The sequence below is a fragment of the Homo sapiens genome, chromosome 13 (genome assembly GCF_000001405.40).
Source record: "Homo sapiens chromosome 13, GRCh38.p14 Primary Assembly".
Classification (NCBI taxonomy): domain Eukaryota; kingdom Metazoa; phylum Chordata; class Mammalia; order Primates; family Hominidae; genus Homo; species Homo sapiens.
The window spans coordinates 23,443,621-23,459,194 of record NC_000013.11 but is presented as its reverse complement, the minus strand read 5'-3'; the positions used below and the strand labels follow the sequence as shown (position 1 = coordinate 23,459,194).

The 15,574-nt window shown below is 45.0% G+C and overlaps 1 annotated feature.

The window, feature by feature from the left end:
• Positions 9,730-10,569: an enhancer, noted in NCBI's record as "OCT4-NANOG-H3K27ac hESC enhancer chr13:24022765-24023604 (GRCh37/hg19 assembly coordinates)". NCBI's record gives its function as "activates a minimal SCP1, AML or CMV promoter by ChIP-STARR-seq in primed H9 embryonic stem cells {active_cell/tissue: H9 hESC(primed)}" and the evidence as "EXISTENCE:reporter gene assay evidence [ECO:0000049][PMID:30033119]".

The window sequence follows — 15,574 nt, the reverse complement described above, 5'->3', positions numbered from 1 at the left end:
TTCTAATCTGCTGTCTGGGATGGGGAGATTCAGGACACTGGAGTACATAGTTTTAGAAGGGACTGTAATTTGATCATCCTGACAACCTTTAGTGCTGTTAGACTGCGTCAATCCTCCTCCTATCTTATGAACGCCTCCCTTAGGGAGGTCAGAATCACACCCATTGAGCTGCCTTTCTTCCTGAAATGTTACCTTTATTTCCATGATCCATTCCAGGGAGTAAGTAAGAGAAGTAGGCCGGGTGGATACTGTGTGAATGAAACCACTGCCACCCACTTAAAGAGGAGCAATCACATCCCAGCCTTGGCTAGTTGTTGACCATTGACCATTTGAAAATATGGGTCATGTATTCTCAGACCTTCCAGTTGTCAAGGGAAGCCAGAAACCTAGATCATAAGGGAAATCCTCCAACTTTTAAACCTTGACAAAATCCATTAAATGTTTATTTATTAAATACCAGGTTGGCCAGAAATGTAAACGCCAAATAAAACAAATCAGAGGCAGTAGCTCAACTAGGAGTGTAGAGGGAGAATGGCCGAACCCCTAGGTACAAGCTTGGAAAGCGGCCTTTTTTAAGGCCATAGTTTTACTCATGGGTTTTGAGGATTATAAGCAACAGCAACAACCAAAAAGACATTGGAGAATGCACCATGGAAGCTAGATATCAAGACAACTAGAGAAGTTCCTCAAAGAGTGACATTTTTTTTTTCTTGAGATGGAGTCTCGCTCCTGTCATATAGGCTGGAGTGCAGTAACACAATCTCGGCTCACTGCAACCTCCATCTCCTGGGTTCAAGCGATTCTCCTTCCTCAGCCTTCTGAGTAGCTGGGATTACAGGCGTGCACCACCACGCCCAGCTAATTTTTGTATTTTTAGTAGAGACGGGGTTTTGCCATGTTGGCCAGGCTGGTTTCGAACTCCTGACCTCAGGTGATCCACCCACCTTGGCCTCCCAAAGTGCTAGGATTACAGGCGTGAGCCACTATGCCCAGCCAAAGAGTAACACTTTTTAAAAAACTTGTAATTATTTTCCCCCCATTCTACAGAAGAGACTTCTCTCAGCTTGCCTGTAAACATTTGTCACTAATATCTTAATGTGATTCCAGTTTATCCATTATTAGCTTAGTTTTTCCACCAGAAACAGTAGTGCAGAGCACTACAACACTCTGATTTGGCATAGACCAAATTCAACTGGAAGGAGAGAATAATCAGCTGATTGGCCTAGAATACAGAGTTTAGTGGAGAATCCCAAGCCTGACCAAAGAGATTGCAAGTCTGACTGGGGCACCATCAATGGTAAGTGCTGGACAACTAAGCCTCCTAAAGCCCTTGTTTGTAGCATCTGCCTATTCCTATAAATGCTTCCCAACCATAGCTGATTTCAGGCTGCGAATGTGATGTCACTGAAAGCAGGATTGGATAGAAATGTGCACAGCCAGTTCCAGCATACCACTGGGCCCACCACAGTGGGACCCTGGATAGCTAGTAGAAAGCAGGAAGACACAGGCACTAAAGTATTGGTGTGAGGAGAAACACAGCCCCAATGCCTCCTCCCTGAGGCCTTCTCAGTGTCTGTTCTTCTGTTCTATCAGATCACGGAAGGGGTGTCCTTAACTGATTTGGGTATCACACACAAAATGTCATTAGGTGATATAGCATCCTGATAGGCAGTTGTAGATGCTCATGAGTGATTAAAAGGATCAGATAAGGGGATGAGAGAACCCCAGGTCTAAGAATATGAGCTCCATGAATGTCTCTTCCTATGAGGTGTCGAGTCCATCTCCACAGGCAGAGCCGTTTTCCCCTCTCTGTTCTCCCAGCACTTGGCAGGTGCGTCAGGCCACAATCACCAAGTCATTTTGTGAGCTTCCCTTTCTCATGACACCTTGCACTCCTCTTTCTATTCCTAGAACTCAGTGCGAGGTGTGGCACTGGTGGCGGGGAAATCTCAGGAACCTTTTCCTAAAGGAATAAGGAGTGTGGAGAAGGCTGAGGCAGGGGCAGGAAGTAGCCCTGGGCTGAAGGCAGGGCAGGCATGTGGCAGGGAGGCTGGGGCTGGCCTTGCCCCCACTTTCCTGGCCTAGCCTCTCATACAGCTTCTCTGCGGAGCTCCGTGTAACTCTTCAGCTGTTTGTGTGTCATGGAGTTGGGCTCCACGTCTTGATGGGTCGCTGTCCTCCACACTGCAAATGCTCATTCAATGTGAGGTTATGCCAACACTTGCTGGATGTCATTTGCAGAAGGCTTCACTGAGTTATGTCACCCTCTGACCTGACGCAGCTGCTGCTGGACCTTCAGAAGTCACCATCTCCTTGACAAAGTGGCCCCCACAAAGCAGCAACAGATATCTTTATGGTTTCAGAGAGAGGAAGCCCCAGCGTCAATTTTTGGGCATGAATATGCCTTTGCAGAATTAATAATGAGTGAAATCTAAAATGGCTGACTCCATCTTGCTCCCAGCTTCACAGGCTAATATTTTTTTTCTTTTTTTCTTATTATAGTGCAGAGGCCAAGATAACTGTGAGAGGAATTTAGCTTATAGTTACACTTTGAGGCAAGGAAAACTGATCCTCTTTCTTGCACAATGAAGCTGCTGCATTCATCAGACAAGGTTAGAATTATGGTGGAAGCCTGAACTCTGCTAAAGAATAGGCACAGTTCAGTAATGACCTGCCACTGCCTCGCTTGCTTTTCTATGGTGCCTACTGCCCCGAAGTCACGTACCTTGAGGCTGCAAGATATTTTAACTTCCACAACTACTCCTAGAGATGATATCACTATTGTGGAACTCAAAGAACTGGTCTTTAAGGTATTATTCGGATTTAGCATTTTGGCAGACCAAGAGATACCACCTGGTCCTGAGACCCCCTTCCAGGAACTGACTCAGCTGCATGAAGACAGTTCTGACACCCTGTGATTTCATCCCCAACCCGACCAATCATCGTTCCCCATTCCCCATTCCTTAGACCTCCTACCTGCCAAAGTACCCTTAAAAGCCCTAAGATGGATTTGAGAATTATCTTCCATCCTCCTCACTTGGCTGGTCCTGCCATTATTAAACTCTTTTTTTTTTTTTTTTGCTGCAACACCTATTGCTCTCAGTGCATTGGATTTTCTGGACAGTGGGCAAGGAGAACCTGGTTGGGCAATTACAGATGTAAACATTTTTTTGGCAGGGCTGTGCATGTTGGCTCATGCCTGTAATGTCAGCACTTTAGGAGGCAGAGGCGGGCAGATCGCTTGAGGTCAGGAGTTCTGAGACTAGTCTGGCCAAAATGGCAAAATCCCATCTCTACTAAAAATACAAAATTAGCCAGGTGTGGTGGCACACCTGTAATACCAGCTGCTAGGGAGGCTGAGGCAGGAGAATCACTTGAACCCGGGAGACAGAGGTTGCAGTAAGCCGAGTACCACTGCACTATAGCCTGGGTGACAGAGCAAGACTCTGTCTCAAAAAAAAAATATTCTTTTTTGTTAATAAGTGGATTTGTTTTAGCTGATAGTTGGCTATATGGAAAAAAGAAAATTCAGACTCTTGAGTGGCTATGTCTTTTTCTTCTCTCTCATTCCACCCGGAAGCACCATGGCTGGCACCTAGTGGTCATGAAATTAAATATTTGTTACATGAACAAATGAAAGGATGAACCAATGAAGAGTGTGCCTTAAGGTGAGAGGTTGCATTCTATAAAAACGCTTTAGTAGAAGATGACAGTGAAGCGGCAACTGACAACTCTTCTATTCACTTGCAAGAGTGCCCCCCATCTCCAGGAGCTCCTTTATTTCAGGTTTGAGCAGGAGCTCCTACCTTCCTCAAAGCCCATGACCTTCTTATGGTAATTGGACAGAACTGGCACCCGAGCTAACCGGGGCTAATACAAGAGTTTCTTGGTTGTCCTTCTCAGCCTGGGAGCCTCTGTCACTCAATGCCTCCAGCAAAGAGAATGAAACTGGCCAAAAAGAAAGATAGAGATAAAAGACAAAGGGAATTTTGTGGCATTTTGAGCTCTGCTTTTAGTAATTCCTGACACCAGTTTTTTTCCCATTTTGCCTACACCAGTTTGGGTTAGTTTCCTTGAAACAAAGAGAACTTGCTAATTGAGTAATGGTGGTGCTCATAATCATAGCTGTGTGATGAGTTTCACCGGGTGCTAGGCACTCTTCTCAGTACTTGATCATCATTGGCCCACCTAAATAAATCTTACAAAGAAAGTTTCCTCATTACCAAACATCTTCAGATAAAGAATCAGAACCCACTAAGCTAGTTAACATGTCCCAGTTCACACAGCTGGGAGTGTCAGAGACTAGAATCAAACCCAGGCTGTCAGCTCTGGAGCCATGCCTCGTCGGGTGCAGTGCTCCCCACTTCTCTGGGCTCTGGCACTTGATGATGGTGGTGACCTTGGTGACTCCCCACCATGATGTCAGGAGCAGGTTCTAGCCCATCAGTGAGGGGGAATCACTAACTTGGGGAAACGTGGGGATGTTTGTATTAATTGCCACTTGCTGTTCAATTTGGAGGCATTCTTTTTTCTTGATTGCTGCAGGGTGTTCAGCTAGGTTAGGACAGGCCTGGGGAGAAGGAAGTCCTTCCTTGTCTCGAATAAGCCAGAGAGAGGGGGACAAATGAGGAGTCCTGAGCCTGGCCAAATTTAGGGTGCTCATGGTCCCTATGTATACATGTGCTCACGCGTAGACTGACTCACCGCACTCAGTTTTGCTTCATTATTGTTGTTGCTGCTGTGGTAGTTAATTTCAAGTGTCAATTTGACGGGGCTAAGGGATGCCCAGGTAGCTGGAAGAGCATCATCTCTGGGTGTGTCTGCGAGGGCGCTTCTGGAGAGATTAGCATGGGAACCAGCAGACTGAGTAAAGAAGATCCACCCCCACCAACACGGGTGGGCATCATCCCATTCATGGAGGGCCCAGGTAGAATAATAAGGCTGAGGAAGGGCGAATTCTCTTTCTGTTTGAGTGCAGACATCTGTCTCCTCCCCTCGGATGGTAGGTCTTCTGGTTCTCAGGCCTTTGGATTCCAGGACTGATGCCAGCAGCCCCCAGGTTCTCCTACCTTTGGCTTTGACCTGAGAATTCCACTGTCAGCTCCCCTGTTTGCCAGACCTTTGGACATGGACTGATCACACCACCGGCTTTCCTGGTCTCCAGCTTGCAGATGGTAGATGGGGGAACTTCTCAGCCTCCATAGTTACATGAGCCGATTCCCATAATAAATCTGTCTATATTTCTATCTACCTATCTCCCATTGATTCTGTTTCTCTGGAAAAGTCTGACTAATACAGCTACCATACAAAAAGTTTGGTTAATGTCAAAATATGTTGTACGTATGCTATACCAAGCATGGTACAGTGATTTTTAGAGACATAAAAACACCTGATGTCCTCTTGAATACACCAAAGTTGACTCCTGCAGAAATCCTGCTGTGCTTGGGGACTTGGGAAGGTTTAGCCTGTAATAGTTTTCTGATTTTCAGATGGTGAATAAACCTAAATCCCTGGCAAATTGCACCTTAGATAGATAAAGAATTACGGAGTACAAGGGACTTTGTCATTCTGTTTGTACTATTGTTTAAGTGGAAACACAGAATTGTGATATTACTAATCAAAAAGCTACATTTATCCCTATTTGTCAGGCACCTGAAATGAACCACTCCTGGGCATTGGTGTCATATTCCCTGAAGCCATGGCACTGTCACTGTTGTGGTGGAGGTGGAGAACACGGGTCAGTGGGGATGCTAAGGAAGCCTGAGAGAGGGCGCCGGCATGATCTTGGTGCAGATGGAGACCAAGAGTCTCCAGAGACCAATTTGTTTCAGTGGGAGGGCCAGGGGCCCATGTGGGCCAGAGGCAGCGACACTGGCGAAAGCCTGCAGGTGAGAGTGAAAAGGAGAGTCATGAAGAGGGTAAGTGTGAGAGAAGGAACTCGAGAACCCGAGAGAGCCCACAGGGGCATTCCTGGGTGGGAGAGCAAAGGGTGTGCTTAGAGGAGAGGCTGGGGAGATGCTTAGGGTCAGAGCACGTTGGACATGCACAGGGTTGGGACTTAATATGAGTGATAAGAAAAATGCTCTGTCCATCCCTGAAGAGTCTGTAGATCTATTAGCAGGCAAACTTTCCTGGGGAAGGTTCTCACCCAGGACTAGGTGCCCACCTACACGCCCAATGAACCCAAGGGCCCCTCTACCATTTCCTTATCAGCGTAGAGGGTCACTTACATGCCTGTCTCCCTCACTGGACTGTACTTCCTTGGGTGCAACAATGCTCCTCTTTTCTCAGTAAACCTAAGGCCTGGTACAGCTCCTGACATATGAAAGGACGGCTTGAGCATCTGGTGAATGCTGCTGTTGCAGGAGTTTTTGTAGTAAGTGTTATTAAGGGTGTGTTGTTGGACTTTGGGAGGCTGAGGTGGGCGGATCACGAGGTCAGGAGACTGAGACCATCCTGGCTAACACGGTGAAACCCTGTCTCCACTAAAAATACAAAAAAATTAGCCAGGCGTGGTGGCGGGTGCCTGTAGTCCCAGTTACTTGGGAGGCTGAGGCAGGAGAATGGTGTGAATCCAAGGGGCGGAGCTAGCAGTGAGCAGAGATCGCGCCACTGCATTCCAGCCTGGGCGACAGAGAGAGACTCCATCTCAAAAAAAAAAAAAAAAAAAAAAAGGGGGTGTGTTGTTTGTACTGGGTGTGGTGGCTCACACCTGTAATCCCAGCATTTTCAGAGGCCAAGGTGGGTGGACCATTTGAGGTCAGGAGTTCAAGACCAGCCTGGCCAACACAGTGAAACCCTATCTCTACTAAAAAATACAAAAATTAGCTGGGTGTGGTGGCACACGACTGTAGTCCCAGTTACTTGGGAGGCTGAGGCAGGAAAATCACTTGAACCCAGAAGGTGGAGGTTGCAGTGAGCCCAGATGGCACCACTGCCCTCCAGCCTGGGCCACAGAGCAAGACCCTGTCTCCACTAAAAAAAAAAAAAAAAAAAAGGCCTGGTGTGGTGGCTTATTCCTGTAATCCTAGCACTTTGGGAAGCCGAGGTGCGTGGATCACCTGAGGTCAAGAGTTCGAGACCTGGCCAACATGGCAAAACCCCATCTCTACTAAAAATAACAAAAATTAGCTGGGCGTGTTGGCAGGCGCCTGTAATCCCAGCGACTCAGAAGGCTGAGGCAGGAGAATTGCTTGAACCCAGGAGGTGGAGGTTGCAGTGAGCAGAGATCACGCTGTTGCATTCCACCCTGGGCAGTAAGAGTGAAACTCTGTCTGAAAAAAAAAAAAAAAAAAAGAATGTCTTGCTTGCATTTAAAGATAATGCTACTGTCAGCTGGCTATGCACTTTCCAACAAATCAACATTGGTCAGGTGTGAGTGCACAGCAAGGAGGAGATGGGTGCATGGGCGAGGCTCAGGACCTCTGGGAGAAATCGATGGTCTTGGTCATGGTCAACCAGTGACAGACTCTTGGGAGGGAGGAGTGTGCAAATCAGAAAGAAGGAAAATGAGTATTCTAAGGAGGACAGAACTGGCAAAATAGGGAGTCAGGGAGGCTGTCAGGTGACAGATGAGAAGGGCCTAGGCCAGTGCAGTGCAGAGAGGGCTTATTCTAGACCCTGGAGGGGAGCCACGTGGGGCTGTTCTGCAAGCTTCATAGGCATGAAACTGCTTTATCCTCATCCCAGACCGGGAGGTGGGAACCATCAATACATCCCCATTTCACCTGCACCCAGAATTTAATTTATGAAGGGGACTGAGTGATCCATACGAGAGGCCAATGCCATTGAAAGGGGTTTCATGACTGACAGTTGCCAAGCTGTGCAGGGCCACCCGGGAAGTGCTAGGGTTCAGCAGGAGGGAAGAAGAAAACATGCCCAGAGCCCTTGAAGTTTTTGTGGGAAGGAATAGGTGAGGCAGGGGAGGCAAGTTGGAGCACATTTGGGATTGCATGCTTTGAATGATTTCTGGGTGCTTGGGGCTGTGGGGGAGGTCTCTAGGTGTCTGGGGCCTGGTCCTGGGGTGATTTAGGATAGAAGAAATACTGGCTTGGTGTGTGCAAATGTGATAAAGGAGGTGGTTGGAGACATGGACTTTGGATTAATTGGTTTGCATATGAAAGGCATGCACAGGGGCAAGTTGTTAGCTTTCTCTAGGAATTAGCCATGGGAGGGGCGGTCTCTCCCTGGCCAGCAAGGCCCCCAACGTGTCAAAGCATTATAAAATACAGAAAATAACAAAAAACACGATTAATACACTCCCCTTGACAGATGAGAGAATCCTGACACAGAGAGTGTAGTTAATTTGCACAAGGTCACCCAGCTAAGGGATGAAGCTGGGCATTCAATCAAGGAATTGTCTCTCTGCTTAATCACTGTGACAGCTGCCTCCAGATTAATGTTAATCTTTCTAAAAGTGATAAAGTGTAATAGTTCAGTTATTATGGCAAACAATTCTTTACAAACAAGTAAGGCTTATTTAATGGTATAAAAGAGAATAGGAGGCAGTTTTCCATAGTTCACATGAAGTCATAATCCGCTCTTGCAAAACTTGAATAAGTACAATTCTCTTTCGTGATCAAAGGAAAAATGCTGTCATCATGCACCAGAATGCCTTCCAGAATTTGAGAGGGCACGTTTGCCTCCAGATGTCATTTCTGATTAATGAGGAGCAGGTGGCATGACAGGCGAGGCTGACACTCATCTCTCATGGGTGGTTTCAATTTACGCTGCCCTGAAGCAGAGAGATGGTCTTTGATGACCTTGAAAAGTTCACTTGGGGCATAACATAATTTTTTCCAGTTTTATAGATCCACAGTTTCCTCCTTGTTTAAGCAAAGTGAGCCAGCAAGTTAATTGTTCAAAGTAACTTCTGCATTTTTCAAGTTTGATGGACTAGCATAGTGCTACAAATATAGCTATAACTTGCTTAACTCATTGTTTAAAATCTTTCCGTAAGTGGAAATACATATTTAAATGAAAACGGTGAATTTTCAAACAATAGTGTTTTTATGAAAAAAAATCAAATGTATCAGTTTTCATGAATAAAAAACCAAATATTTCAAATATTTATTTGCTCTTATGTGAGGAAAAGACAAAAATTCCTCAATAAACCATTTGCTTAATGCATGTTGTGGTGTATTAATAATTAAGTACAATTAAGCATACGTTTCCCATACAGCTTTCCTGTGCAAGGCACTGTGCTGGCCACTACCTTAAAACTCCTTCTTTTAGAAACTTGCTTATAGGTGTCCATTACCACATTTAATTCATATAGCAGTCCGCTGAGGGAGGCAGGACAGACATTGCAGCAGGTATTGCTTTTGTCTGACCGGCCACATTTCTTATTCTTAATAGAAAAACTATGAAAATTGGCTTTCCCCCAGTGAAATCTCAGTGTTCCTCTTACAGAAGTGTAGGTCCAGGGGCCAGCAGTGGTTGGCTTTAGTTTGACTGTTCAAACGACACAATTTGGCCATTTGGTGATGCCATTTCCTCTCCGGCTCTCCCCATCTTTCTTCCCAACCTTCTTTTGTGTGTTTGCTCTTGCCTCCATGCTAATTGCTGCCAACTTGCAACCTTTTGTTTAAATTTTACACAGAAAACTCTGGTAGAGTGATTCAGTTTGCCCCCTTCCCCCTGGGGAACAACTCTTTGTTTTTAGACTTGCAAAACAAGTACATTGTTGTCCATGGACCTCAGTTGTCAGTTACACAAAGCCATCCTTCCTGGGAGAAGAGGAAAGGGATGCAAAAGAATCTTTTCATTCTTTAGTTGAAAAACTGACTGCAGTGAGTGGGCAGATGAAGAGAATCTGAGGATTCTTTCTTTTTTCTTTTTTTTTTTTTTTTGAGATGGAGTCTCGCTCTGTCGCCCAGGCTGGAGTGCAATGGCACGATCTCAGCTCACTGTAACCTCCACCGGATTCAAGCAATTCTCCCGCCTCAGCCTCCTGAGTAGCTGGGATTACAGGCACCCACCACTGCGCCTGGCTAATTTTTGTATTTTTAGTAGAGATGGGGTTTTGCCATGTTGGCCAGGATGGTCTCAATCTCCTGACCTCAAGCGATCCACTCGCCTCGGCCTCCCAAAGTGCTGGGATTACAGGCATGAGCCACTGCACCCGGCCTTAGAGGATTATTTCTACATTCCCTTGTTAATCCACAGCTTTGCAGGGTTTTTCTGGATGTACTCTCTCTCCTCATAACCAAGTCCGTATTGGATTCTAAGTCTTGTGCTCCTATGGGGACACTGAGTTACAAGGTTATGGTCAAAGCTTTTGGCAGGAACAGTAACTTCTGAGTAGGACAGAACTTGGCCGGACGCGGTGGCTCACACCTGTAATCCCAGCACTTTGGGAGGCCAAGGTGGGCAGACCACGAGGTCAGGAGATCGAGACCATCCTGGCTAACAGGGTGAAACCTTGTCTCTACTAAAAATACAAAAAAAAAAAAAAAATAGCCAGGTGTGGTGGAGGGCGCCTGTAGTCCCAGCTACTCGGGAGGCTGAGGCAGGAGAATGGCGTGAACCCGGGAGGTGGAGGTTGCAGTGAGTGGAGATCACGCCACTGCACTCCAGTCTGGGCAACAGAGTGAGACTCCGTCTCAAAAAAAAAAAAAAAAAAAAAGAAAGAAGAAGGCATAGACTTCTGGCATGGCTGCATTAAAGAGCCCCTCTGGAGTTAAGAGCTGAGGAAGAGTGCAGTAGTTTTCTGACATTCAATTTGGTGAGTCTACCATCCAGTTATTCAATCCCACAGTAATCTAGGGGCTGCTGTGAAGATACTGTGTAGATATGATTAAAGTCCAAGAGCAGTTGACGTTAAGTAAGGGAGATGATCCTAGATAATCTGGGTGGGCCCGATTCAAACAGGTGAAAGGCCCTAAAAAGCAGCCCTTGAAGAAGAAAGTCTACTTGTGGTCGGCAGATCAGCCTGTGACAAAAATGCCGGCCTAGCCTGGAAATTTCAGACTTGCCCAGCCTGGCCCACAATAGACTAAGCCAATTCCTTCCAACAAAGCTCCTCATACATATCTCCCACTGGTCTGGTTGAACCCTGACTCACGCAGATCATTTTACTTAATAATTTGAGAGACATTGAGAGCTTCCATCTGCTGCAGGCAGTTTACAGTTTGGGAAAATTTCCTAGTGGATCTGTAATTATACAAAGAATTGAATCTGATCCTCTATGACCTAATCAACATGCTTTTTTTGTTTTTTGCATGAGTCATTAGTTTTAGGATTACAAATAATTTTGAAAACACTTAAAAGTACAGAAGTATGAATACATACAAGTAAACATGAACATACATATAAATCACAATATATTTTTCTTCCCTACAAATTGAGTTTTATTTGGTATTAATTAAAATAGAATATGTAATATAACCTCATGGCAGCCCATGGCAGTCTTTTATTCCACCGTGAGCATTAGTGTTTTCTTTTTTTTTTTTGAGATGGAATCTTGCTCTGTTGCCCAGGCTGGAGTGCAGTGACGCGATCTCAGCTCACTCCATCTCAAAAAAAAAAAGAATTGTTAGTAAGCTAACACACTCCAGATATATCTGGACTGCCTTGGGGGTCATTAACACTTGTTGATGCATTTAAATTAAATTCAAATCTAACTTCAAACACCTGGAAGAATAATGTAAAATATTAGCATAGGTTTTCTTTCTTTTTTTTTTTTAATTAATTTATTTTTTTATTATTATACTTTAAGTTTTAGGGTACATGTGCACATTGTGCAGGTTAGTTACACACGTATACATGTGCCATGCTGGTGTGCTGCACCCACTAACTCGTCATCTAGCATTAGGTATATCTCCCAATGCTATCCCTCCCCCCACCCCCACCCCACAACAGTCCCCAGAGTGTGATGTTGCCCTTCCTGTGTCCATGTGATCTCATTGTTCAATTCCCACCTATGAGTGAGAATATGCGGTGTTTGGTTTTTTGTTCTTGTGATAGTTTACTGAGAATGATGATTTCCAATTTCATCCATGTCCCTACAAAGGACATGAATTCATCATTTTTTATGGCTGCATAGTATTCCATGGTGTATATGTGCCACATTTTCTTAATCCAGTCTATCATTGTTGGACATTTGGGTTGGTTCCAAGTCTTTGCTATTGTGAATAATGCCGCAATAAACATACGTGTGCATGTGTCTTTATAGCAGCATGATTTATAGTCCTTTGGGTATATACCCAGTAATTGGATGGCTGGGTCAAATGGTATTTCTAGTTCTAGATCCCTGAGGAATCGCCACACTGACTTCCCCAGTGGTTGAACTAGTTTACAGTCCCACCAACAGTGTAAAAGTGTTCCTATTTCTCCACATCCTCTCCAGCACCTGTTGTTTCCTGACTTTTTAATGATTGCCATTCTAACTGGTGTGAGATGGTATCTCATTGTGGTTTTGATTTGCATTTCTCTGATGGCCAGTGATGGTGAGCATTTTTTCATGTGTTTTTTGGCTGCATAAATGTCTTCTTTTGAGAAGTGTCTGTTCATGTCCTTCACCCACTTTTTGATGGGGTTGTTTGTTTTTTTCTTGTAAATTTGTTTGAGTTCATTGTAGATTCTGGATATTAGCCCTTTGTCAAATGAGTAGGTTGCAAAAATTTTCTCCCATTTTGTAGGTTGCCTGTTCACTCTGATGGTAGTTTCTTTTGCTGTGCAGAAGCTCTTTAGTTTAATGGGCAAGGACTTCATGTCTAAAACACCAAAAGCAATGGCAACAAAAGACAAAATTAGCATAGGTTTTCTAGTGTAGTTTTCTTGTCAGTGCATCTGACAGGAAGCCTTCCACAAAGTTCTCTTTGCCCGTCACTCATGGACCCTGGCGAACAGGCAGAAAAGAAAATAATTGGAAGGATATTGGTTAGCTCATTGTGTTGTCAGGAAGGCTGGGAAAATAGGCAGAAGACAAGAAAGGCTGGGCCGAGGGTAGCACCAATGCCTGCATCATTTCCTCAGGCCCCCGATGATGCCCAGGAGTGTGAGTGGAGCTACTGTTACCACTGCCATGAGTTCTTCCTCAACCAGCCCCACACTTATGAAGCATTCCCTGAAGGTTCAATGCCTAAAGCATGGATTTATTTGCATAGCCTGTGCTTAGGTAATGGGCTGTGCCCTAGCTGCCAGAAACAAGGACGGAGCATTCCCCACAGTGGGTGTGTCCCCTCAGATAGGCATGTTGCTCTGATGCTGAGTGGTTAAAAAGAATGCAAATGTGCCCAGACTGCCCAGGCCATATGCCCTGTGGGGATTTAGAATCCTCAACTCATCAACCCACCTCCCTTCAAAGGTGGAGCCACTCCCCTTAAGTTTGGGCTGCATTTGGTGACTTGCTTCTAATGATCAGGATATCATGGAAGTGAAAGTGCATTGCTTCTGAGATTAAAATGTAAAAGGCATCAAGGTTTCCTTCTTGTTCTCTCTCTGACTTGCTTGCTCTGGGGGAAGCCAGCTGCCATGTTGTGAGGATACCAAGAGGGCCTTATGCAGAGGTCTGCAGGGTGGGTACTGAGGCATCCAGCCAGCAGCATGGGAAGGCACCATCTCGGAAGAGGAGCCTCCAGCTCTAGTCAAGCCTTCAGATGATGGCAGCTTCAGCCAACATCCTGACTTTAACCTAAGAAAAAACACTGAATCACAACCATCTATATAAGCTGCTCCCAGATTCCTGAGTTTCAGAAATTGTAAGATACTGTTTGTTGTTTCAAACCTCTAAGTTTGGGGATAATTTGTTAACAGCAATAGATAACTAATACATACCCTCTTCTTTTAACATTTACAGTTAAAAAAAGAAAAATAAAAAAATGCTTTCTTTTTATATACTGCAATAATCGGTCATACAACCAAAAATGACACTCATACCTTTTGTAAAGGTAGACAAACCAGTCTCTCGTGTTTGTCTGGCCCCGTATCTCAGGGTGCTATACTTTCTTCCTTAACTTCTTTTAAACTCATTTTATGATCTGCAACTTGTGGATTAAGCTGTAAAGTTCATTACCACCAACCAATATCCCACATATTAATTTGAAATATGGGTGGATGCAGTAGGCCCTGTTTCTGCAACAGGTTACAAAACTATTTAAGAGTTTCCTTCTTCACCACTCATTCTGGGTTCCTGTATTAGTCTGTTTTCACACTGCTGATAAAGACATACCTGAGACTGGGAAGAAAAAGAGGTTTAATGGACTTACAGCTCCACATGGCTGGGGAGGCCTCACAATCATGGTGGTACGCAAGGAGGAGCAAGCTGCATCTTACACAATAGCAACAGGCAGAGAGAGCTTGTGCAGGGAAACTCCCCTTTTGAAAACCATCAGATCTCATGAGACTTATTCACTACCACGAGAATTGCACAGGAAAGACCAGCCCCCATGATTCAACTACCTGCCACTGGGTCCCTCTCATAACACATGGAAATTGTGGGAGATACAATTCAAGATGAGATTTGGGTGTGGATATAGGCAAACCACACCAGTTCTCCTTGTTTTTAGGCAGCACCTCAACAATTGGGGTCCTTTACTCCATTGGGTTACTCAAACCTTCATTTTTGAGAGATCTGAGCCTGCATGTATAGGGTACAGTGGTCCTTCATTAGTCTTTACTGCCTTGCAACACAAGAGGAGATGGTGACTTTAGGTATCATTAGGTCCTGTTTTAGGGTTTTCCAGAGGGACAGAACTGGTAAGAGATATAGAGAGAGATATGTGAGAAGGAATTTATTAGAAGGAATGGGCTCGCTTGATTATGGAGGCTGAAAAGTCCCACGCCAGGCTGGCTGCAGGCTGGAGACCCAGGGAAGCTGGTAGGGTGGCTCAGTCTGAGTCTGAAGGCATCAGAATTAGGGAGGCCACAGGCCTGAGAGTGCTAGGGGGGCTGCTGGTGTGAGTCCTGGAGTCTAACGGCTGGAAAACCTGGAGTTCTGATATCCAAGGGCAGGAGAAGAATGGCATCCTTACTGTAGAAGAGAGAGCAAGCATTCGCCCTTCCTCTGCCTTTGTGTTCCATCTGGGTCTTCAGCCAATTGGAAGGTTCCCACCCACATTGAGGCCCACACCATCTTCCTCCAGAAACACCCTCACAGACACAGCTGGGACAGCCCAATCATCCTCATCAAGTGCCAAACCACCTGGATTTCCCTTTCAGCAGAAGAGGGATGGGTGCAGTGCCTACTGACTCCTTGAGAATAAATAATGTTTTCCCAGCTGTCTGGGTACCCTTCATCTAGTAAAGTTGCCACTCCAAACCAACCATCAATCTCCCTGATTTCCCATTCTCTACACAGCAGGAATGTTATTTTCCTTTGAAAACTGGAGGGAGAGAAAGGAAAGAGATCTAATTTCTCCATTTCTTGCAGTGGATGGCCTATAGCTTCTACTTCTATTTTAAACTTGATATATTGAGAAACAAACATTTAGACACGTTACTTAATGTTGTAAAGAGAACAGCTTAAATAATTGAAAGCAGAATATAAACTTCCCAAATAAAAAATGCTTAGGGGAAGAAAAACGAGGAGTGTATTGGAAAAGACGGAACTTGAAGTGGAAAGCAACAACAA